This window comes from Homo sapiens, chromosome 2 (genome assembly GCF_000001405.40).
Source record: "Homo sapiens chromosome 2, GRCh38.p14 Primary Assembly".
NCBI lineage: Eukaryota > Metazoa > Chordata > Mammalia > Primates > Hominidae > Homo > Homo sapiens.
The window spans coordinates 240,224,725-240,243,750 of NC_000002.12; the positions used below are offsets into that span (position 1 = coordinate 240,224,725).

Sequence of the window (19,026 nt, forward strand, 5' to 3'; positions counted from 1 at the left end):
ACCTTCTAAAATAAGGAGACTTTTCCTATTGCCTTTAGCAATGCCTGCCTGCAACTTGCAAAAATAAATCATGGGAACGTCAGCTTCCAGAGTGGAAGGAATAGTTTCCTTGCTATGCACTGCAGCCCAGCCCTCAGTCACTGCTTGGAAACCTCATGAATAAGCATCAAACCATGACGGCAAAATGCCATTCTGGAAACTCAGTATTTCCTTATCTTGAGGACATGGTCATGCATTTCCCAGTTGAGATTCCAAAAAAGCCTTTAAATGTTACAGGTGTGTGCCATAGCTGGGCTTGCTGAGATAGGAATTGGGGAAGGTGGAAACCCAGGTCAGTGCCGTCCCGTGCGGCATCCTGTTTGTCAGTGTGCAGAAAATTCAGCTTTTGTTAACCGTGCTGACTGGAGTCAGAGGATCTTACAGTCCACACTATATCACCTCGATTCTGGCCTGCCTGGACCTTGTGTCTTTAACTGTCTTTATCCGGACACCACAGTCTACTGGAGGCCTCTTCCCCGTGTGTGCCTCCTGAGGCTCTGTGTGTCCTGAGCATTCCTGGGCTAAGCCCCACCCAGACATGGCCGACCCTGCCAGGAAGCCCAGGGGGTTGGAGAGGACCAGGCCAAGAGCCTCCCAAGAGAGGACATCCCATGCCCACAGCAGGGGCCCCAGTGTCCCATTCAAATAGGCTGCTCCAGAGGCAGGGCCCACTTAGCCATCTTTGACCCTGCTTGGGTTCACCCAGGGTTGGGTGAGATGGGGACAGGTGTCCTCAACATGAGGCACTTCTGCAGATATGGGGTTCTCTCCAGGCTTTGAGCTGCAGCACTAAACTTCTGCCTAGTTCAGAACAGTCCTGAGGGTTCGAGATGAGGCATGCCAGGAGCTTCTAGTCAGGAGAAGGAAGGCTGGGTAGAAAAGACAGGGAGGGTAAGGATGAGAGCAGCGGTGGTGCTGGGCGGGGGAGTCGCTCCTTGATGGGGACTCTCCCCCGACTCTAAACCTCACATCTCTTCCCAGAGCTTGAGGCTGCTCAAGGAAAATGGCTTGTTGGCAGTGGTTGGCAGTGCTTAGTAGTCATTGGCAACAGTTGGCAATTGTTGGCAGTGTCTAGCAGTGGTTGCCAATGATTGGCAATGGTTGGTAGTGGTTGACAGTGGTTAGCAATGGTTGGCAATGGTTAGCAGTGGTTAGCAATGATTGGTAGTGGTTATCAATGATTGGTAGTGGTTATCAATGATTGGCAGTGGTCGGCAGTGGTCAGCAGTAGTTAGTAATGCTTAACAGTGGTTATCAGTAGTTGACAGTAGGTGGCAGTGGTTGGCACTGGTTGGCAGTGGCTAGAAACGGTTAGCAGTGGTTGGCAATTATTTGCAGTTGTTGGCAGTGGTTGGCAGTTGTTGGCAGTGGTTAGTAGTGGTTGGCAATGGTCAGAAGTGGTTGCTAATGGCTAGCAGTGGTTATCAGTTGTTGGCAGTGGTTAGCAATGCTTAACAGTAGTTATCGGTGGTTGGTAGTAGTTGGCAGTGGTTGGCATTGGTTGGCAGTGGTTAGAAATGGTAAGCAGTGGTTGGCAATGATTCGCAGTTGTTGGCAGTGCTTTGCAGTGGTTGGCAATGGTTGGCAGTGTTCAGCAATGGTCAGCAGTGGTCAGCAGTGGTTAGCAGTAATTAGCAGTGGTTGGCAGTTGTTGGCAGTGGTTAGCAGTTGTTGGCAGTGGTTAGCAGTGGTTGGCAGTGGTTAGCAGTGGTTGGCAATGGTGGGCAGTGGTTAGCAGTAGTCAGCAGTGGTCAGTAGTGGTTAGCAGTAGTTAGCAGTGGCTGGCAGTTGTTGGCAGTGCTTAGCAGTGGTTAGCAGTGGTCAGCAGTGGTTGGCAGTGGTTAACAGCTATTCCTGGGCTCCTTGCCTCATTTCTCGGCAGGATTGGGCCAATCAGGCAGAGGGGCAGTGCACAGCTCACCTATGAGATGTTGGATCCTCTCTGTAGGACTATAAAGAACCCTGCTTTGAATGGAGACTAAGAAAGACCCTGGGAAGTGGTGTGTGGAGGTGACCACCTGGACTGGCCCAAAGACCAGCTCTGGAGAACAGACGGACCCTCCAGGGCTGGGCTGTCATGGCAGGAGCTGGCTCTCCTCCTCAACAGCCTGTCCAAGGGGACCTGGGAAAAGCCTGAGTCCCCGGGCCTGCAGCTCCTGCACCACCCCTGCCAGCCCACCTTGCCCCTCAGCAGGCAGGTCCAGGGAGGGGGACAGGGAATGCAGGCTCAGGGGAGAGGGCTCTGTTTCCAAGATGCCCCAGGAGAGACTAGGCTCTCAGTTGGAAAGGAGTGAGGTAGGGCCACAGCAGGACAGGAATGCTGTGGGCAGGGTCACAGACGGAGGTCTGCAAGTTCCACACACCCCTTGTGGAGGGTGTCAGCAAAGAGAAGCAGGCCCTCCCTGGGCCTCCAAGACCAGTGCTATGTGGCTGAACAGTAGGCCTGGCCCTGAGTGATCACCTCCAGCCCCTGAGGCCTCCAGTGCAGGCTGCTGGGTAGGAGTGAGGCCAGCAGGGGCCTTCGCACCTGCCAGGGCACCAGCACACCAGGCGGGCCTCAGAACAGCTGCAGCGTGGTGGGAAGCCACATTGTCCGGCTGTTTGGCCAGCTGTGCTGCAGGTCCCTGGCCAGGGACTGAGATTTCTGACAGTGGGGCTGGCACTGGCACTGTGAACGTGCTGACACTGACAGGGCAGCTCCCAAGGCTGTGGTGAGGCAGGAGGTTACATGGCCTCCCTCTTCTTTGACACTTGGCAGGGAGCTATAGCCACACAGATGCCACTGGACTGGAGCCCCAGGCAGAGTGCTGCAGGCAGAGAAGGCGGCAAAGCAGGCTACGTTCTAGGATCTGCTCAGACAGGGCTGATGTGGACATGGGAGGAGCTGTTTGGTCTCTGCAGTCCTCACCCTTCTCTAGGCAGTGGCTGCCTGCCTTTCTGTAGTCCAGCTGAAGAAAGAAGGAAACAGCAGAGAAAAATAAAGAGTATCATTCCAAGGGGCCTATACCTTGAGGCACTGCCGGGTGCAGTAGGGAGATACTAAGACCTGCCTTTGATGGGCAGTAACTGCAGGCCTGGCCCAGAATCACACCACTTAGACCTGTCCCCGCCCTCCCAGGAGCCATCATTGCAGCCTTCCAGGCGAGCTTCTGGAGGCCCTGAGAGGTTATCTGATGTGCCTGAAGCCCCACATCTAAGACAGATGGACACCTTGAAGACAGCGAGTTTTTCCTGGTAGAACAGATTCAAACGAGTATCTATTTCATCCAGGCTGGGCGCAGCTCTTCCAGCCAGAGGTGCTGGTCTGGACCCACTTCCTGAGCAGTCTCCAAACTGGGGACCCTCTGGGTTCCTGAGGGGGTGCTGCGAGGGCCTCCACCCCACTGTGATACCCCAGCTGTAGAGTGTGATGGGGTCTGGGAGTCATGCTGCAGAGTGGGGGACACGTCAGAAACAGGCGGTGTGGGCAAAGCTGGCATAGCTGCTGCTCCCCGGAAGCCGGTGCAGTGCCTCCAGCCCAGGGCCAGGAGGTGCTGGCTGTGGCTGACTCTCAGGGAGGGGATGACACCCGTTGAAGGGGCACATCATGGATTCTGGGTGGAAAAAGTTTTCCTAAATAATCAGACCCCAGGCTTGTCCTTTAAGCATATGAGGGATCCAGATTTATACCACATGGAATTCTAAGCTAAGAAGTTAACATTTAGTCCCTTTGCTGAGCATGAGCTCAGGTCAACCCAAGGTGTCTGGCATAAACAAAGGCAAAATCATACCACAGGCTCCCAATGTGGTCCCCATAGCATGTGGATGGGGGCTTCGGGATTGGGTTCAGGGGGTCAGCATTTACCAGGTATAGGAAGAGCTACACCTCTCAGCACTTAATCTAAACGACCTGAAAGTAAACAGAAAGGAAAGCGTTAGATACATTTCAAAATGAAGAAATCTAAATTCTGAGAACCAGATTGTGATTGTGTAAATAAGATGTGTGTGTGTGTGTGTGTGTGTGTGTGTGTGTGTGTGTGTGTCAGGGTCTCACTCTGTTGCCCAGGCTGGAGTATAATCATGGCTCACTGCAACCTCAGCCTCCCAGGCTCAAGTGATCCTCCCACCTCAGCCTCCCAAGTAGCTGGGAGTACAGGCACGCATCATCACACCCAGCTAATTTTTAAATTTTTTTTGTACAGATGGGATCTCACTATGTTGCCTAGGTTAGTCTTGAACTCCTGGGCTCAAGCAGTCCTCCTGCCTCAAACTCACAAAGTGTTGGGTTTACAGGCATGAGTCACCATGCCTGGCAAATAAGATTTTATTCAAAATAGAACCAAAACAAACCTCTACAAATGACTACATGGGTATTCATAATTGAAACTTAGTGGAATACTTAAAAAGCAAATTAGATTCAGCTGAAGAGAGAATTAGTGAACTGGAAAATAGACATTCTAGGCTGAAGTGTGTTCCCGCAAAATTCATGTTGAAGTCTTACCCCCAGTACCTCAGAATGTGAATGTATTTGGAGACAGGGTCTTTAAAGGAGTAATTAATTTAAAGTGAGGTCTTGGGGGGGCCTTAATCCAATATAACTAGTGCCCTTATAATAAGAGGAGATTGGGACACACACAGAGAGGTGATCATGTAAAGACAGGAAGAAGACAAGCCAAGGAGAGAGGCCCCAGAGGAACCAGTCCTGCCGATACCTTGATCTCAGACTTCCAGCCTCCAGAACTGTGGGAAAACAAATTTTTGTTGTTTAAACTGCCCCATCTGTAGTACTTTGTTGGAGGAGCCCTAGCAGATGAATGCAATAGATTTAATAAATTACCCAGAATATGCATGGGAAAATAAAGAGATAGGAGGCAGAATAAAGTGAGAGGGATGATGCAAGAGCTAGAAGGACCAATACGTAAATCACCAAAGTCCCAAAGGGAGAGAGAGGCTGGCCACTGGAGCAGAGGAAATGCATGCACATTTTCCAGAACTGATAAACATGAATCCTCAGATTCAAGAAGCACAAGAGAGCCAGAGCAGAACATAGAAAACTAAAACCCCACCTAGACACATGATTGTGAAACTGCATGTGTCATACTCTGTAAATCATCTGCTCAGCTCCCACGCTAACCCTCTTTTAGCTTTTCCTCTCTATCTTTCCATCTCTATCTGAAATGCATGCTTCCTCAACTCCTTAGCAGTGAGGGTGCAGGCATGGGACATTGATTCTCCAGAATATTGCACCTGCCCATTTCTTGGATGCCAACGTGGGAAGTATCGGTGGCAGCTGCAGGTGGAGAGGCTGGGCCCTGTGACAACCTGACAGTAGAGGTGTGGCTTGTCACCAGTCTCAAAGGTACCAGTGCTAATGGCAAGGATGACAACAGGATGCCACTGCAATGGTTGGGTCGGATATTTTTTCAGACAAACATTTGGAATGATAAAGAATGGACTGTTCCCAGGGGACTTGAGGGGAAAATTGGCAAGGGTGTTGAAGACGATGGGGAAAGAGGCTGGGCTGCAAGAAAGCCATGGTGGAAGGGAACAGTCAGAAGACGCAGCCAGAGAACAGCGAGGCTGGGGGTCCCAGCAGAGGGGAGAGGTGCCTCAGCGATGGTCCAGGGAGGGAGAGCAGAAATGACAGAACAGTGAGTGTTGCTGGAGCGGAGGGGTCCGGCTGGTGTGCTGAGAGTTCCCAGGGAGAGCACCACCCTCTTTCAGAATGACAGGAGGAGTCAGATACAGAGGAAGACTAGGAGGGTCAGGATGTCTCTCAGGGTCTCAGGAGGGAAAGTGACACACAGATTGGAGGGGGAAGTGTGTCTTAGCAGATGGCCCTAGCTGCAAGGAAACAGCTGGCTTCATTCAACTGTGAAGAAGTGAAGAAGGGAAGGGGCCTGGGGGCAGGGAAGGTCTTCCCCATTCTGAATTCTGTGGAGTGAAAAACGGGCTTCGGTATAGCAGGAGCAGGGGATGAACTGCAGGGAAGGCAGTGTGTTTTCCACCGAAACTGCATCCCTGGGACATCCAGGGCTGCATGGAAGGAAGCCAAGCAGTAGGCCCAGCTCTGCTGGGGGTCCAGGGACTGGCTAAGGGGTCAGCAGATCTTCCACCAGGGGGAAGGGCAGGGGTGTCCACCAAAGGAACTGGCCCCAACTGGGTTGGCTGGACCTCCACGGAAACCTCCCTGGCTCTGACGCTAGAAAAGCTTTTAGTAAAAATAGACACCTACTACTTACTGGAAGAATAAAAGTCACGGTGCAGAGAGACTATGTTTTAATATGATGAATATCCCTTAACATAACACCCCACATTATACCTAACAGTGAACTCCAGGGAAATGGCCCTTAAAAATCAGAAATTAAAAACAGGTGTTTGCCAACTGCATTAAGATTGAACAGGCTGGGCCGGGCGCGGTGGCTCACACCTGTTATCCCAGCACTTTGGGAGGCCAAGGTGGGCGGATCACAAGGTCAGGAGATCGAGACCATCCTGGCCAACATGATGAAACCTCGTCTCTACTAAAAATATAAAAAATTAGCCGGGCTTGGTGGCAGGTGCCTGTAGTCCCAGCTACTCAGGAGGCTGAGGCAGGAGGATGGCATGAACCCAGGAGGCGGAGCTTGCAGTGAGCCGAGATCGTGCCATTGCACTCCAGCCTGGGCGACAAAGCGAGACTCTATCTCAAAAAACAACAACAACAACAAAAAGATTTAACAGGCCGGAGGATGTCGATGCCATGAGTCATGAACCCATCCTGCCTCTCACCCTGGCAACTGGCAACGGGACCTCCAAAAGCAGGAGGTAATGGCTTTGGCACCCAGAAACGCACAAGACAGAGAGCTATGGTTTCCCCAGTGTCTGGTCCTTGGAGGCTCCATGTGACCTAATTACACGCTGCCTTCCAAGCCTGATTGAGAGCAGAGGTGGTCAGGATGCTCAAAGCCCCTCCCAGACATTCTGTCCAGCCAGCAGCAGACCCACCAGTCCCCGCTCACCTATGCAGATGAGTGGCACTGTGCCACTTGCTCAGATGGAGCAGTCAGTAAGTAGCCAAGGGCATCTGGGTTGCAGACCTCAGTTTGAAAAAAAAAGGGAAGCAGGCGTTCGTCCAACATCACCCAGTACTGAAGACGCACCTTCCCTGTGCCAGGCATGGCCCTGGAGCTGAGCACGTCACTGACCAAAACAGACCAACAGTACCACCCTGGAGGGACTCATCTGTCTCCCAGGGAGTCGGCTTTGTTGGGGCCAGGAACCAGCCACCTTTGGGACCCTCCAGTGGCCAAGCCTGGAACCCTCTCTCAGGTGCCACCTGCCTGGGGACTGCGCAACAGTGCTGAGTGAAGGTGAAGCTTGGGAAGCCTCTCCCACAGGTGAGGCTATGTTGTTCTGCAAATCTACAAAGACAGATGACCAGGAGGGACCGCGGCAGGCAGCGCCTTCAGGCTGGGCGCAGACCCTTGAGTGTGAGCAGCAAGGAATCGACGGGAACAGACTGGGAGAAGGGCCCTGCACGCCCGCAGCTCTGCCCTGCACCTTCTGTTCAGAGATCACTTCTCATCAGGAGGCTGCGAAGGGAACTGGTGCTCCAGCTAAGGGTGGTCCCACAGGGTGACCTTGTCTGTCCTGAAACGGAAGCTGTTGTACTAGACTGGGTGCCACAGAATTTAACGTATACCCAATGGCCATACCCAGGCCTGCAGGTTTATGTCCCCGTGACTTTCAATATGCCCAGCTTGTCCTAGCTGCTTCACTAGGAAGTCCTGAGCCTCCGACAGGACACTTTCTGGGAGAATCACAGAGGCGTGTCTCTAGCGAGCGGCTTCCACTCTTTCTTCCAGACAGCCCGATTTCCCCACATGCACCTGGGCCTTGAGAACAGTCCCTGGAGGAGCATCCGACACTAGCAGGCCCAGGAGAACCACATCAGTCCCTCTCTTTGGGCAGCAGCCCTCCCCCTGCTGGGCTGGACTTCGCCCTCGTGGCACAGCGGGCAATTCTGAGCCAAAGCCAAAATGCCAGCTCCCAGCCTCCTAGGAAGGACGGGTCTGTGCGGAAGGCTCTGCGGCCGGCTCTGCCCCCAGGGCTCCCAGCAGCGGGCTCCCGAGGCCTGGCTTCTCCCGGAGGAGACCCCAGCTTCTCCAGCGTTCTTACATTTCTGTATTTCAGACCCAAATAGACCTTGTTCCAGGTTCTCAATGTCCTCCCCAGGGTGGGGCTGGTGGAGGCCTCCAGGTCCTGGGGTGTGTGTGGGCTGCTGGAGGGCAGGCCCGAGACCCAAAGGCGCGTCTCCCTCACCCGCCTCGCCGACACCAGGGGGCGCTGGAGCTCAGCAAAGGGCCCGGAGGCCGCTCTGAAACTCAGGCCTTAAAATACAGGCAGGATCAGCCTTTGGAGCCCTCCCTGCCGGCCGGGCCTGCCCGGCGCCCAGTCAGCGTGCTGCCGGGCCTGTGCCCCTGACGGACCTGGCACAAGGGGGCACCCAGGGGTCTGCAGCCGGATGATGCGAGCTCAGGCCTCCCCCACCTGGGGTGAGACGCCCCCATCCCATCAGCGCACCCCTGCAGCAGGGAAGCATAAGCCTGGCTGCGGCCCCGCCCACAGCACCTCTCTGGTCCAGCCCCGCCCACAGCACCTCCACCTCCAGCCCCGCCCACAGCACCTCCCCTCTCCAGCCCCACCCACGGCGCCTCCCTTCTCCGGCCCCGCCCACAGCACCTCCCCCACTTCAACCCCACCCACAGCACCTCCCTCCTCCCCGGCTGCAGCTCTCCCCTCAAGCCCCGCCCACAGCCCCACAGCACCTCCCCACAGCCCTGCCCACAACACCTCCCCCTCCAGCCCCACCCACAGCACCTCCACCTCAGACCCCGCCCACAGCACCTCCCGCCTCCAGCCCTGCCCATAATACCCCCCTCCTCTGACCCCGCCCACAGTGTCTCCCCCCTCTGGCCCACCCACAGTGCCTCCCCCTCCAGCTCCTCCCACAGCACTCCCTCCTCCGACCCTGCCCACAGCATCTACCCCTCCAACCCCGCCCACAGCACCTCCCTCCTCCGGCCCTGCCCACAGTGCCTCGCCCCTCCCGCCCCATCCACAGTGCCTCTTTCCTCTGGCCCCGCCCACAGCACCCTGATCCTCCAGCCCCACCCACAGTCCCCCCCTCCAACTCCGTGGCTGCAGCCCCGCCCTCAGCACCTCCCTCCTCGGGGGGTGCCGCAGGACCTGGGACGCACCTGATGTTTCTGGGGGGGAAGGGGCACCCTTCTGCAGTTTGCATTGGTCACCTTAACAGCGGGGCACTGTGGTCACAGATCAAGTCCTAAAGGAAAGTAAACCTCTGTTCAGTGGCCAGGGAGGAAACAGGTTGTGAGAAATAACGGAACATTCTTCAGACAGGACAACAATTCGGAGTCTTACACCATCCCAGGTTTTTTGACACGAGGGCTGTCCCCGCGTTGCTCTCCCTGGGCCTGTGGCACCCACTTGCTGGCTAAGGTTAGGACCCACCCTGGGGCGCCTGCCCAGCGGTGACTGTGTCCACAGCACTCTGGGTGGCACCTGCCCAGCTACTTCTGGTTGTGCCCTGGTCACACAGGCATGGTTGGGGCAGAGTGTGGCAGGTGCTGCCTGCACCAGAGCTCCCCATGTGCCAGGCTTGGTGCCCACGTGTGCTGGTGATGCTCTCACCTGGTCCTCAGTGCAGTGGAATGCGGGACACACTGTCACAGCCTCAATTTACAGCTGGGGAAGCTGAACCCCAGAGGAGTTTGGTGACCTATCCAAAGTCACACCGTCTGGAAGTGGCTGAGCCATCATCTACCAATGCCTGTGAGCTTGAGCTCACGTCTCCAAGAGGGTGCAAGCCTGGGTAAGCAGGGACTTGCTCAGCCTCCAAGGAAAACCCACACCTGCAGCAAATGGCTCCAGGTTCAGGCTGGCCCCCGACTCTGTGAAACCACAATGACCAGCCCTGGGATGTTAAGCTCTGGATCGGAAGAGGAGAGGTCAAGAGAGCAAAATCCTGCAAGCCATGAGCCGTGGGAAATGAGTGAGGTGCTGGTTATTACGGAATGTGCCCAGCCTGACGTGATCACACACAGACACAGGCCTCTGGGGGTGGTGCTCCCAGCTGACCTCTGCAGGATCTCTGCACCCTGAATGGCAGGTCCACGTATCATTGCTCTTGCATGTCCCTCACTACCCCAGGAAATGGCCACCAAATCCCCCAAATCACCCTGGACACCAACACTGAACACAGAATGCTTTTGGATTCCCTAAGGTACAAAGGAAATCTTGGTAACTTCTTTCCCCAGGTTGCCTTAGCTTTCAGGGTTTCCGTGAGCTGTGAGCTCACCTGTGCGTCCTGGCCAGCTGCAGAGCACTGCAAGACCTAAAAGGAGGGAGAAGAATGGGCTTGTGGGGCATGGCTGGGCTGCGGCTCTATATGCAGCAGTGAGGAGATTTCATCATGGCCTTGGGCTGCAGACCCCGGCTTCCTGGCATTTCTCATGCACCCTCCTGAGCCCCAGGTGCTGGGTTACATGTCAGTGTGGAGACTACACCCCGTGACCCAGGCACATGCCCTCGAAGGCTGGTTCTTGAGGGCCAGCTTTGGGAGGACAGGTGAGGGCTCAGGGGTGACAGAACACCTACCTGGGGTTCAACAGGCCACCCCCAGTCCTGGAGCCCCTGCTGCTGTCACCCCACCGGCCCAGGCCAAGGACTGCACTTCTCCTTGCAGTGGACCCCTATGAGCGTGCTGTGACCCCCTCACAAGGTCACCGTACCTGTCTGGCCCCAGCTGCAACCTGCCTGGGAGCAGGTCTAAAAACAGGCCCTGCTGCTGGGTGACTGGGCAACTGATCCGGGTTGGGGCGAGGGTGTGGCCGCCACCCGAGGCCGCCCTGTGTCTGGGCAGGTCTCAACTCTTCCTCTGATTCTCCCTCTGTCCCCGAGGAGCTCTCGGTCCCCGAGCCCGGTCAATACCTGAGCCAGGCATTCTTAACCTCCTGTGCACCGAGGCCCCATGGCAGGTAGTGAAAGTTAGGGACCCCTCATCAGAATAATGTTTTTAGGTGCATAAAATAAAATGCATAGAATCGCAAAGGAAACGCATTGCATTGAAATTGTTAGCACAGGTGAGAGCTGAGTTTTCCGCAGAGTGAGGTGCAGGCTCTTCTATCAACGCGTCACCTGGGGTGTACTCAGCAGTTTGAGCAGTGCTGGGCACCTCGCTGCCTGGGGATCCTGGCCACAGCTGCAGTGATGGGAAGACACTATGGCTTCTTCTGGAACCGAGTCACCTTCTTCCATGCTCACAATGGAAGGAGTACCATGTCAGCTTAGCTGAGCAATGGGACAGTTTCTCCCCATGCATGCTCAGGGGAGTGGCCACCCGGAACCTTCTCCCTCCAGCTCCCCTCCCTCATCCTTTGGGTGCACTGTGACCCTGAATCAGCTCTGTGGGGTGACTCCCAGCCCAGAACCCTCAGGCCCAGAACCCCCACCACCACGGGTGGTACACAACCAAGCTCCTTGGCCCCCCAAGAAGGTCTATGGGAATTGCCTGTTCCAGGTCTGCCTTCCAGGCTGGCCCTCACTGGCCTGGGACACCCATCGTCCTCCTGTTTGCACCTCTGCTCCTCCTGGGTAGACCGCATCCCTCCTCAGCCAGCATGTCTCTCCTGCCTCCTCCCCCAGTGACCTCCCCACCAGCAGCCATCCCCTCACCCCATCTCCCTAGGGACACCTCTCTCTAGCCATCCATCCCATTCGAGGCCTCATCCCCGCTCCCATCAGGGCCTCCTCCATCCCAGATCCCTGGGGACAGCAGGAGCCAGGACCTAGCGAAGGTTGTGTTGACCCTAGCGTTGGAAGAAGGCCTGCTTGGAGGGGGCTGGGTTAAGAAACAGGAGCTCCAAGTGGGCCTGGCTGTCCTTGGCCTGAAGGACTGCTGACAGGAAGCAGCTGGTTTCCAGTGACAGGCGGGCCGGGGGTGGTGGCACCTGTCATCATTTCTGCCCTGCCTGCTGAGCAGAGCTCAAGTGTCTGTGCCTGGGAGGGGCTGGGCCGGAATGAGCACTGCTCAAACCTGCAGCAGGGGGCCAAGGGGCTGCCCAGCCTCAGCCTGAAACTCCCAGAAAGCACTGAGCACAGAGGGTCCCTCCTGCCCCTCCCCTGCACCCCTGTGCCTCTGACAGTTCCCAGGCTCACTCCATCCAAAGGCCCCAGCCCCTGTGGAAAGACCCCTGGAAGCCCTCATGGACACCTGGTCGCAGAGACTGGTGCCCTCCCAGGCCTACTTGTCAGTCAGTCTCGGGCCCAGCTCCTGTCATCTCTGTCCCCTGCAGGACTCAGACCGCTGTGTGTATACATGTGGGGTGGGGTGGGGATTGGGGAAGGCTGGGGGGAGGGGGATTGGGCTGGATGTCCTTCCCTGTTTCCCATCAGAGAAGAGAATATTTTCTTATTTTCCCCTTCTGCTATTCCTTGTTTTAAGATAACTTTTTTTTTTGGAATTATTATTTTGTTCTTAGTGAGACTATATCTCACTAAAATTATGTACTCAAAATACTGTTTATTTTTTAAGTCACAGTCACATGAAGATTTCTTGGCACCAATTTGGTAAACAGTTAGGTTTACTTGTTCCTGCCAGTTTCCAATTTGTAGGGATTCCTTTCTTGTTCTTTAGGATTTGTTGTTGTTTTTTAGCAAAGCATCTACATGGTTCCAGAGGAGACATGAGCCATGTGAAGCTCAAGGTCAGCCCCAGAATTGGCCCCCCTTCCCCTCCCCCACCACCTTCTTTCCCCACCCCCACTGGAGGCCGTGTTTATTAGGTCGGGGTTTACCTGTTCACTGGTTATTTTATATGAGAAGCCCATGCATACCCATCTCCAAGCCGTTCTAGAAGCCTCTCTGACATGTCCTGCCTCTTACTGCATTTACACGACACTGCCTTTCACATCGCACGCACGGCTCCTTCTCACGACTTCCTGTTCCTACAACGCACTCCTTATGGGACTGACCAGGATTTAATCAAACAGTTGCCCTGGATGGGCAACTGGGAGTTTTCTGTTTTTGCTATCACCATGAAAGAGCGGCCTGTGCCAAAGTCGCTGTTTCCCTAGCGTTTTCTTGGCAGAGATTCATGGAACTGACATCGGTAGGTTGAAGGCCATGTGTATCTGCAACTTGGCCAACTATTTCCCTCCCTAGGAACTGCCTCATTGTGCATTCCCACCAGTAATCAATAAGAACACCTGTTTCTCCACAGCCTCACCAACACAATGAGTTGTCAAATCTTTGGATTTTTGCCAAGCTGATCAGTGAGAAATGGAATCTCAGTGTTGTCTGAATTCACATTTCTTTTATATGAGCAAGATTGAGTCACCTTTTCCTATGTTTAAGAGGCATTTGCATTTTTTCTTTTACAAACTATTTGTTCCTATCTTGTACCTATTTTCCTACAGATCTTTGGACATTTTCTTCATTTTGGGAACTTTTTGTATATCAGTGATATTAGCCTTGCATCTGTAATATTAGTTGCAAATATTGTCTTACCTGTCCTTTGACTTTGAAGATGGTGTATTTTCCCATATAAAGGTCTTAATTTTGTGGAGACAAATTTGTTCAACTTGCCTGATTGCTTCTGGATTTTGAGTCATGGTTATAAAAGCTTTTCTCCATCTTAGGTTGTAAAGGAAGTAACCTGATTTATTTTCTAATACTTGTGTAACTCCATCTCTGATTCACTTGGTGTCCACTGTGAGAAGTGGATCCAATTTTCTCTTTGCATGTGGCTCTGCAGCATCCCGAACCCCTTGGTTACAGAGTCCATCTTCTCCCACTCACTTGGGATGCCACCCACCTTGACAACAGCCCACTGCTTGTGGGTCTATCTCTGGATTCTCTATTCCACTGGTCCATTCATCTGTAAACGAATGAATGCCATGCTGTTGTGCTCACAGAAGCTTTATAACATGTATTATATGGCATAGTCTACCCCACCAACTTCACCCTGCCCTCCTTTTCCAGGGATTTCCTGGCTATTCCTGCTTTCTAATTCTTCCCTGTGAAAGATAACATCTAACTGCCTGGTCTTCCTGGACATACACCAAGTCCCTTCCTGTCCACAGGGCTCCTTGTATGCTCTTCCCACCTGCTCTGCCTGGCAAACTCACTCTAAGAGACCCTGCACAAAGGCCCCTTCCCTCAGGGTCCCAACCCCTGGCCTCAGGCAAGCTCAATCTTGCCTTTGGATGCTACTGAGTTGGCTCTTCTGCCTAGAGCCCCTGATCTCCAGAACTTTGCATGGATAGTTCCTCCCCATAAACGCCAGCATAAATGACCCAGCCAGAAGGCATCCCTGGCTCCCAGACCTTCTCCATCCATTACTCTGTTTTATTTCCTCATGGTTATCATCCATATCTAAAATAATCTTACATGATTGTTTGATGTTATATATGCCAGAAGGTATGAGAGAATGGCCTTAACTTATCTAATTCTGTGATGAATCTTCAGCATCAAGAACAGTATAGTGAAAGGAGCTCCAGGTGGGTGGGTGGATGGATGGATGGACAGATAGAGAGATGGGCAGATGGATGGACAAATGGATGGACAGATATGGATGGTTGGATGGATGGTTAAATGGATGGATGAGTGGATGGATGGATGAATGAGTAGATGAATGGATGTTCAGATGGATGGATAGGTAGATGGGTGGATGAATGGATGAGCAGATGGATGGATGGATGGATGGTTGGGTGGATGGATAGATGGCAGATGGATGGATGAGTAGATGGATAGATGGGCCGAGGGATGGATGGCTGGGTGGATGGATGGATGGCTGGGTGGATAGATGGTTGGGTGGATGGATGGACAAATAGATGATTGGGTGTGTGGGTGGATGGGCAGAGGGATGAATGGCTGGGTGGATGGATGGATAATTGGGTGGATGGATGGACAGATGGTTGGTTAGTTGAGTGGATGGCTGGATGGCTGGAAGGATGGAGACTGTCCTGCCTTTCTAGTCAGTTAGTTACCTTTCCTTTGTGCTGTCAGAGTACTCTGAACACCTATTATAGATCAGACCCAAGCTAAACACCTGTGAAAGGTATTTGGCACATGTCCCCACCTACTTGGGTGTGAGCTCTGTGGGGGCAGATCGATGTCTGATTGTTGTGCCCATCGAGAGGATGTGGACAGTAATAAACGCAGGTGAAAGAGTGACAAGGCAGAGAGTCATAGCACAGGGTAGCATCTTGGGTTCAAGGTTTTGAGGGACTTTAATGGTTCTTAGGGAACTGAAAGGTGATGTATTGAACCCCATGGCCAAAGGTCTAACACAGCCAGGCTCTCTGGAGCCTGTGGTACCAGCTGTCCTGTCTCAAGCCCTGAGATTTTCTTACACTGACTTTGGCTGAGAAAGCATGTGTTGTTTTCTAAGCATGAGTTCCGGCATTACCTTCCTAGTCCTACACCAGCAGCTGCTGAGGTAGGGGAAAGAGGGCAAGAGGGCTGAGGATGCAAACAGACTTAGGCTTTATAGGCTCAGCCACTGTGGATTTTGAGACCATAGTGACCTGATCCTTACAGATGAGAATGTGATGCCCACACTTAGAGCTGTGCTAAGGACTAAATGAGCAAAACAGGCAAAGCCTTGGGCTCACCATTTAAAGTGTACAATTCAATGGCTTCTCATATATTCAGAGTTGTGCATCACCCCATTCTAATTTTAGAACATTTTCATCACTCCCCTCCAAAAAAACCACATGTCCTGTTAAGTCTCTCCTTATGTTCCTCCCCCATCCCCTAGGCATCCCCTAATTTACTTTCTGTCACTATAGATTTGCCCATTTTGGACATTGCACATAAATAAAATCATGCTAAATATGGTTTTGTGTGACTGTCTTCTTTCTTTTAGTATAATATGTCCAAGGTCCATCCACTGCTGTGTCATTGTGTCAGTACCGCATTCCTTTTTATTATCAAACAATATTACATTGTAAGATACCACATGTAATCTGTCTATTCCTCAGTTGGTGAAAAATTGGGTTGTTTATACTTTTTGGATATTATGAACACTGTTACATTCTATGCAAGTTTTTTTGTATGCACATTTGTTTCAGTTTCTCTTGAGCACATACATATCTAGTAGTAAAATCACTGAGTCATATGGTAACTCTATGTTTTGCATTTTAAAGAACTTCAAGACTGTTTTCCAGAACAGCTGCACCATTTTAGATTCCCACCAGCCATGTCTGAGTAGTCCAGTTTCTTCATAACCTTGTCAACACTTGTTATTGTCTGGGGTTTTTTTATTGCAGTTATCCTACTCGGTCTAAAGTGGCATCTTGTGATTTTGATTTGCATTTTTTAAATGGCTAATGAAACATCTTTTCTTGTGCTTAGGAGACATTGTGTATCTTCTTGGAGAAATGTCTATTCAAATCCTTTGCCCATTTTTAAATTGGGTTATTTATATTTTTCTTGTTGAGGTCTAAGAGTTCTTCATATATTCTGGATACACGTCTCTTACCAGATAAATGATTTGAAAATATTTTCTCTCATTCTGTGGATTTTCTTTTCACTTTATTGGTGGTATTTTTTCAGCACAGAGGTTTTAAATTTTAATGAAATTCAATTTACCTATGTTTTTTCTTTTGTCACTTGTGTTTTTGGTGTCTTATCTAATAAATTATTGTTTCTATGTATTTGTAACCCAAGGTCATACAGATTTATTCCTATACTTTGTTCTAAGATTTATATAGTTTTAGCTCTTGCACTAGGTCTATGTTCCATTTTGACTTAAATTTTGTGCATGCTGGGGAAGGAGACACGCTTCATTCTTTTACCTGTGGAGATCCAGTTGGCTTCTCACATTTGTTGAAATGTCCTTTTTGTTTTTTAAGTGAGCTTTGCTTTTCTTTTCTGATTCTGAAAGTAATATACATTTTTATATAAAACTTGGAGTTTGAAAAAATACAAAGAAGAAAACAAATGTTACCCATAATTCTGCCATCTGGACACATGGTGAGCATCATTTGCAGTTATGAGTTTTGTACAAAAATGAGATCCTCTCTTATGTTGCTCTAGCAGTCTTGGTGACTAGCTTTGGTGATGTTAAACACATCCGTACTATTAATACATCAAATATTCCATGTCATTAAATACTTTCCTCCCATGTCATTTTTAAAGGTTGCATAGCATTCTCATAGCTGGATTTATCATATGAGCTCTCCTATATTGTTGGAAATTTGGGTTGCTTCTGTATCTTGTTATTATAGTCAGTGTTGGTTTTAATACCAAAAATGTCTCATAAAGGAAGGGGAAGCTCAAACTCTAGTAGCTTGGTGTATTAGTAGGGATTCTCTTAGAGGAACAGAACTAATAATATATATATACTCATTATATATATATATATATACACATTATATATACACATTATATATATATACACACATTATATATATACACATTACATATACACATTATATATATACACATTATATATACACATTATATATACATACACATTATATATATACACATTATATATACACACATTATATATATACACATTATATATACACATTATACATATATACACATTATATATATATACCCATTATATATATATATATATACACACATATATATGTGAGTTTATTAACTTACACAATCACAAGGTCCCACAATAGGCTGTCTGTAAGCTGAGGAGCAAGGAAAGCCAGTCCAAGTTCCAAAACTGAAGAGCTTGGAGTCCGATGTTCTAGGGCAGGAAGCATCTAGCACAGGAGAAAGATGTAGGCTGGGAGGTTAGACCAGTCTCTCCTTTTCATGTTTTTCTGCCTGCCTTATATTCACTGGCAGCTGATTAGATGGTGCCCACCAGATTAAGGGTGGATCAGCCTTCCCCAGCCCACTGACTCAAATGTTAGTCTCTTTCAGCAACACCTTCACAGACACACCCAGGATCAATACTTTCAATCCAATCAAGTTGACACTCACTATTAACCATCACACTTGGTAAACTCATTTAAAATTAATAATATTTATTGATTTTTTTAAATTATAAAAGTAATACATAATTACAAGAGAAAATTCAGAGGCTGCAAAACAGTGGATGAAGGGAAATTCAGGCACAGATTCCCCACCTAGAGATGACGAGATGACTGCTTAAAAATATCAGTATATTTCCTTACATTCTTGTTCCTTTTTTTTTGGCTTGCTGCTTTTTTTTGTTTTTGTTTTTGTTTTTTGAGAGGAATCTCACTCTGTCTCCCAGGCTGGAGTGCAGTGGCATGATCTCGGCTCACTACAACCTCCGCCAATGGGGTTCAAGCAATTCTCCTGCCTCAGCCTCCCAAATAGCTGGGATTACAGGCGTCTGCCACCACGCCTGCTAACTTTTGTATTTTTTAGCAGAGACAGGGTTTTGCCATGTTGACCAGGCTGGTCTTGAACTTGTGACTTCAAGTGATCCGCCTGCCTCGGCCTCTCAAAGTGCTGGGATTACAGGCATGAGCCACCGCGTCCAGCTGGCTTGCTGATTTGTCTGATGAATTGGGTTCCTACGTTACAGAAAATCTTAGAGTAGCTGTGTAATATTCCAGTCCACGACCATGCCACGTTTCTCTTAGCTCCTCCATAGGTATAGCTTCAAGACATATATTGTTTTGCTTTCCTGAATACGTTACTGCATAAAGCCTTTTTCTTTATTTATGATTGTTTTTATAAAATAGGGTTGTAAAGGCGGATTAAACAGCAAAAAAAATGTGTTTCTTCACAGAATGCTTTACAAAATAGTTATAATACACCTTCCTACAATAATGGAGGATGTTTTTCTTAAAATTACCTCCACAATAACATTTTTCATTGATTTTATGACTGTTTTGTGAGAGCTTTCTATATGTTTCTTAATAAGTGATAGTTTCTTACATTACCTGTTTCTCAATGTCCATTTATTCATTGAGATTTCACTGTAGTGTTGTCATT

At 50.3% G+C, this 19,026-nt stretch overlaps 9 annotated features.

The window, feature by feature from the left end:
- Positions 111-611: an enhancer, noted in NCBI's record as "H3K4me1 hESC enhancer chr2:241164252-241164752 (GRCh37/hg19 assembly coordinates)". NCBI's record gives its function as "activates a minimal SCP1, AML or CMV promoter by ChIP-STARR-seq in naive H9 embryonic stem cells {active_cell/tissue: H9 hESC(naive)}" and the evidence as "EXISTENCE:reporter gene assay evidence [ECO:0000049][PMID:30033119]".
- Positions 612-1,112: an enhancer, noted in NCBI's record as "H3K4me1 hESC enhancer chr2:241164753-241165253 (GRCh37/hg19 assembly coordinates)". NCBI's record gives its function as "activates a minimal SCP1, AML or CMV promoter by ChIP-STARR-seq in primed H9 embryonic stem cells {active_cell/tissue: H9 hESC(primed)}" and the evidence as "EXISTENCE:reporter gene assay evidence [ECO:0000049][PMID:30033119]".
- Positions 1,960-2,461: an enhancer, noted in NCBI's record as "H3K4me1 hESC enhancer chr2:241166101-241166602 (GRCh37/hg19 assembly coordinates)". NCBI's record gives its function as "activates a minimal SCP1, AML or CMV promoter by ChIP-STARR-seq in naive H9 embryonic stem cells {active_cell/tissue: H9 hESC(naive)}" and the evidence as "EXISTENCE:reporter gene assay evidence [ECO:0000049][PMID:30033119]".
- Positions 2,462-2,961: an enhancer, noted in NCBI's record as "H3K4me1 hESC enhancer chr2:241166603-241167102 (GRCh37/hg19 assembly coordinates)". NCBI's record gives its function as "activates a minimal SCP1, AML or CMV promoter by ChIP-STARR-seq in naive H9 embryonic stem cells {active_cell/tissue: H9 hESC(naive)}" and the evidence as "EXISTENCE:reporter gene assay evidence [ECO:0000049][PMID:30033119]".
- Positions 8,430-8,639: a silencer, noted in NCBI's record as "silent region_12507". NCBI's record gives its function as "represses an Ori minimal core promoter by ATAC-STARR-seq in GM12878 lymphoblastoid cells {active_cell/tissue: GM12878}" and the evidence as "EXISTENCE:reporter gene assay evidence [ECO:0000049][PMID:35858748]".
- Positions 8,982-9,523: an enhancer, noted in NCBI's record as "H3K4me1 hESC enhancer chr2:241173123-241173664 (GRCh37/hg19 assembly coordinates)". NCBI's record gives its function as "activates a minimal SCP1, AML or CMV promoter by ChIP-STARR-seq in naive H9 embryonic stem cells {active_cell/tissue: H9 hESC(naive)}" and the evidence as "EXISTENCE:reporter gene assay evidence [ECO:0000049][PMID:30033119]".
- Positions 8,990-9,039: a silencer, noted in NCBI's record as "silent region_12508". NCBI's record gives its function as "represses an Ori minimal core promoter by ATAC-STARR-seq in GM12878 lymphoblastoid cells {active_cell/tissue: GM12878}" and the evidence as "EXISTENCE:reporter gene assay evidence [ECO:0000049][PMID:35858748]".
- Positions 10,770-11,270: an enhancer, noted in NCBI's record as "H3K4me1 hESC enhancer chr2:241174911-241175411 (GRCh37/hg19 assembly coordinates)". NCBI's record gives its function as "activates a minimal SCP1, AML or CMV promoter by ChIP-STARR-seq in primed H9 embryonic stem cells {active_cell/tissue: H9 hESC(primed)}" and the evidence as "EXISTENCE:reporter gene assay evidence [ECO:0000049][PMID:30033119]".
- Positions 11,399-12,003: an enhancer, noted in NCBI's record as "H3K4me1 hESC enhancer chr2:241175540-241176144 (GRCh37/hg19 assembly coordinates)". NCBI's record gives its function as "activates a minimal SCP1, AML or CMV promoter by ChIP-STARR-seq in primed H9 embryonic stem cells {active_cell/tissue: H9 hESC(primed)}" and the evidence as "EXISTENCE:reporter gene assay evidence [ECO:0000049][PMID:30033119]".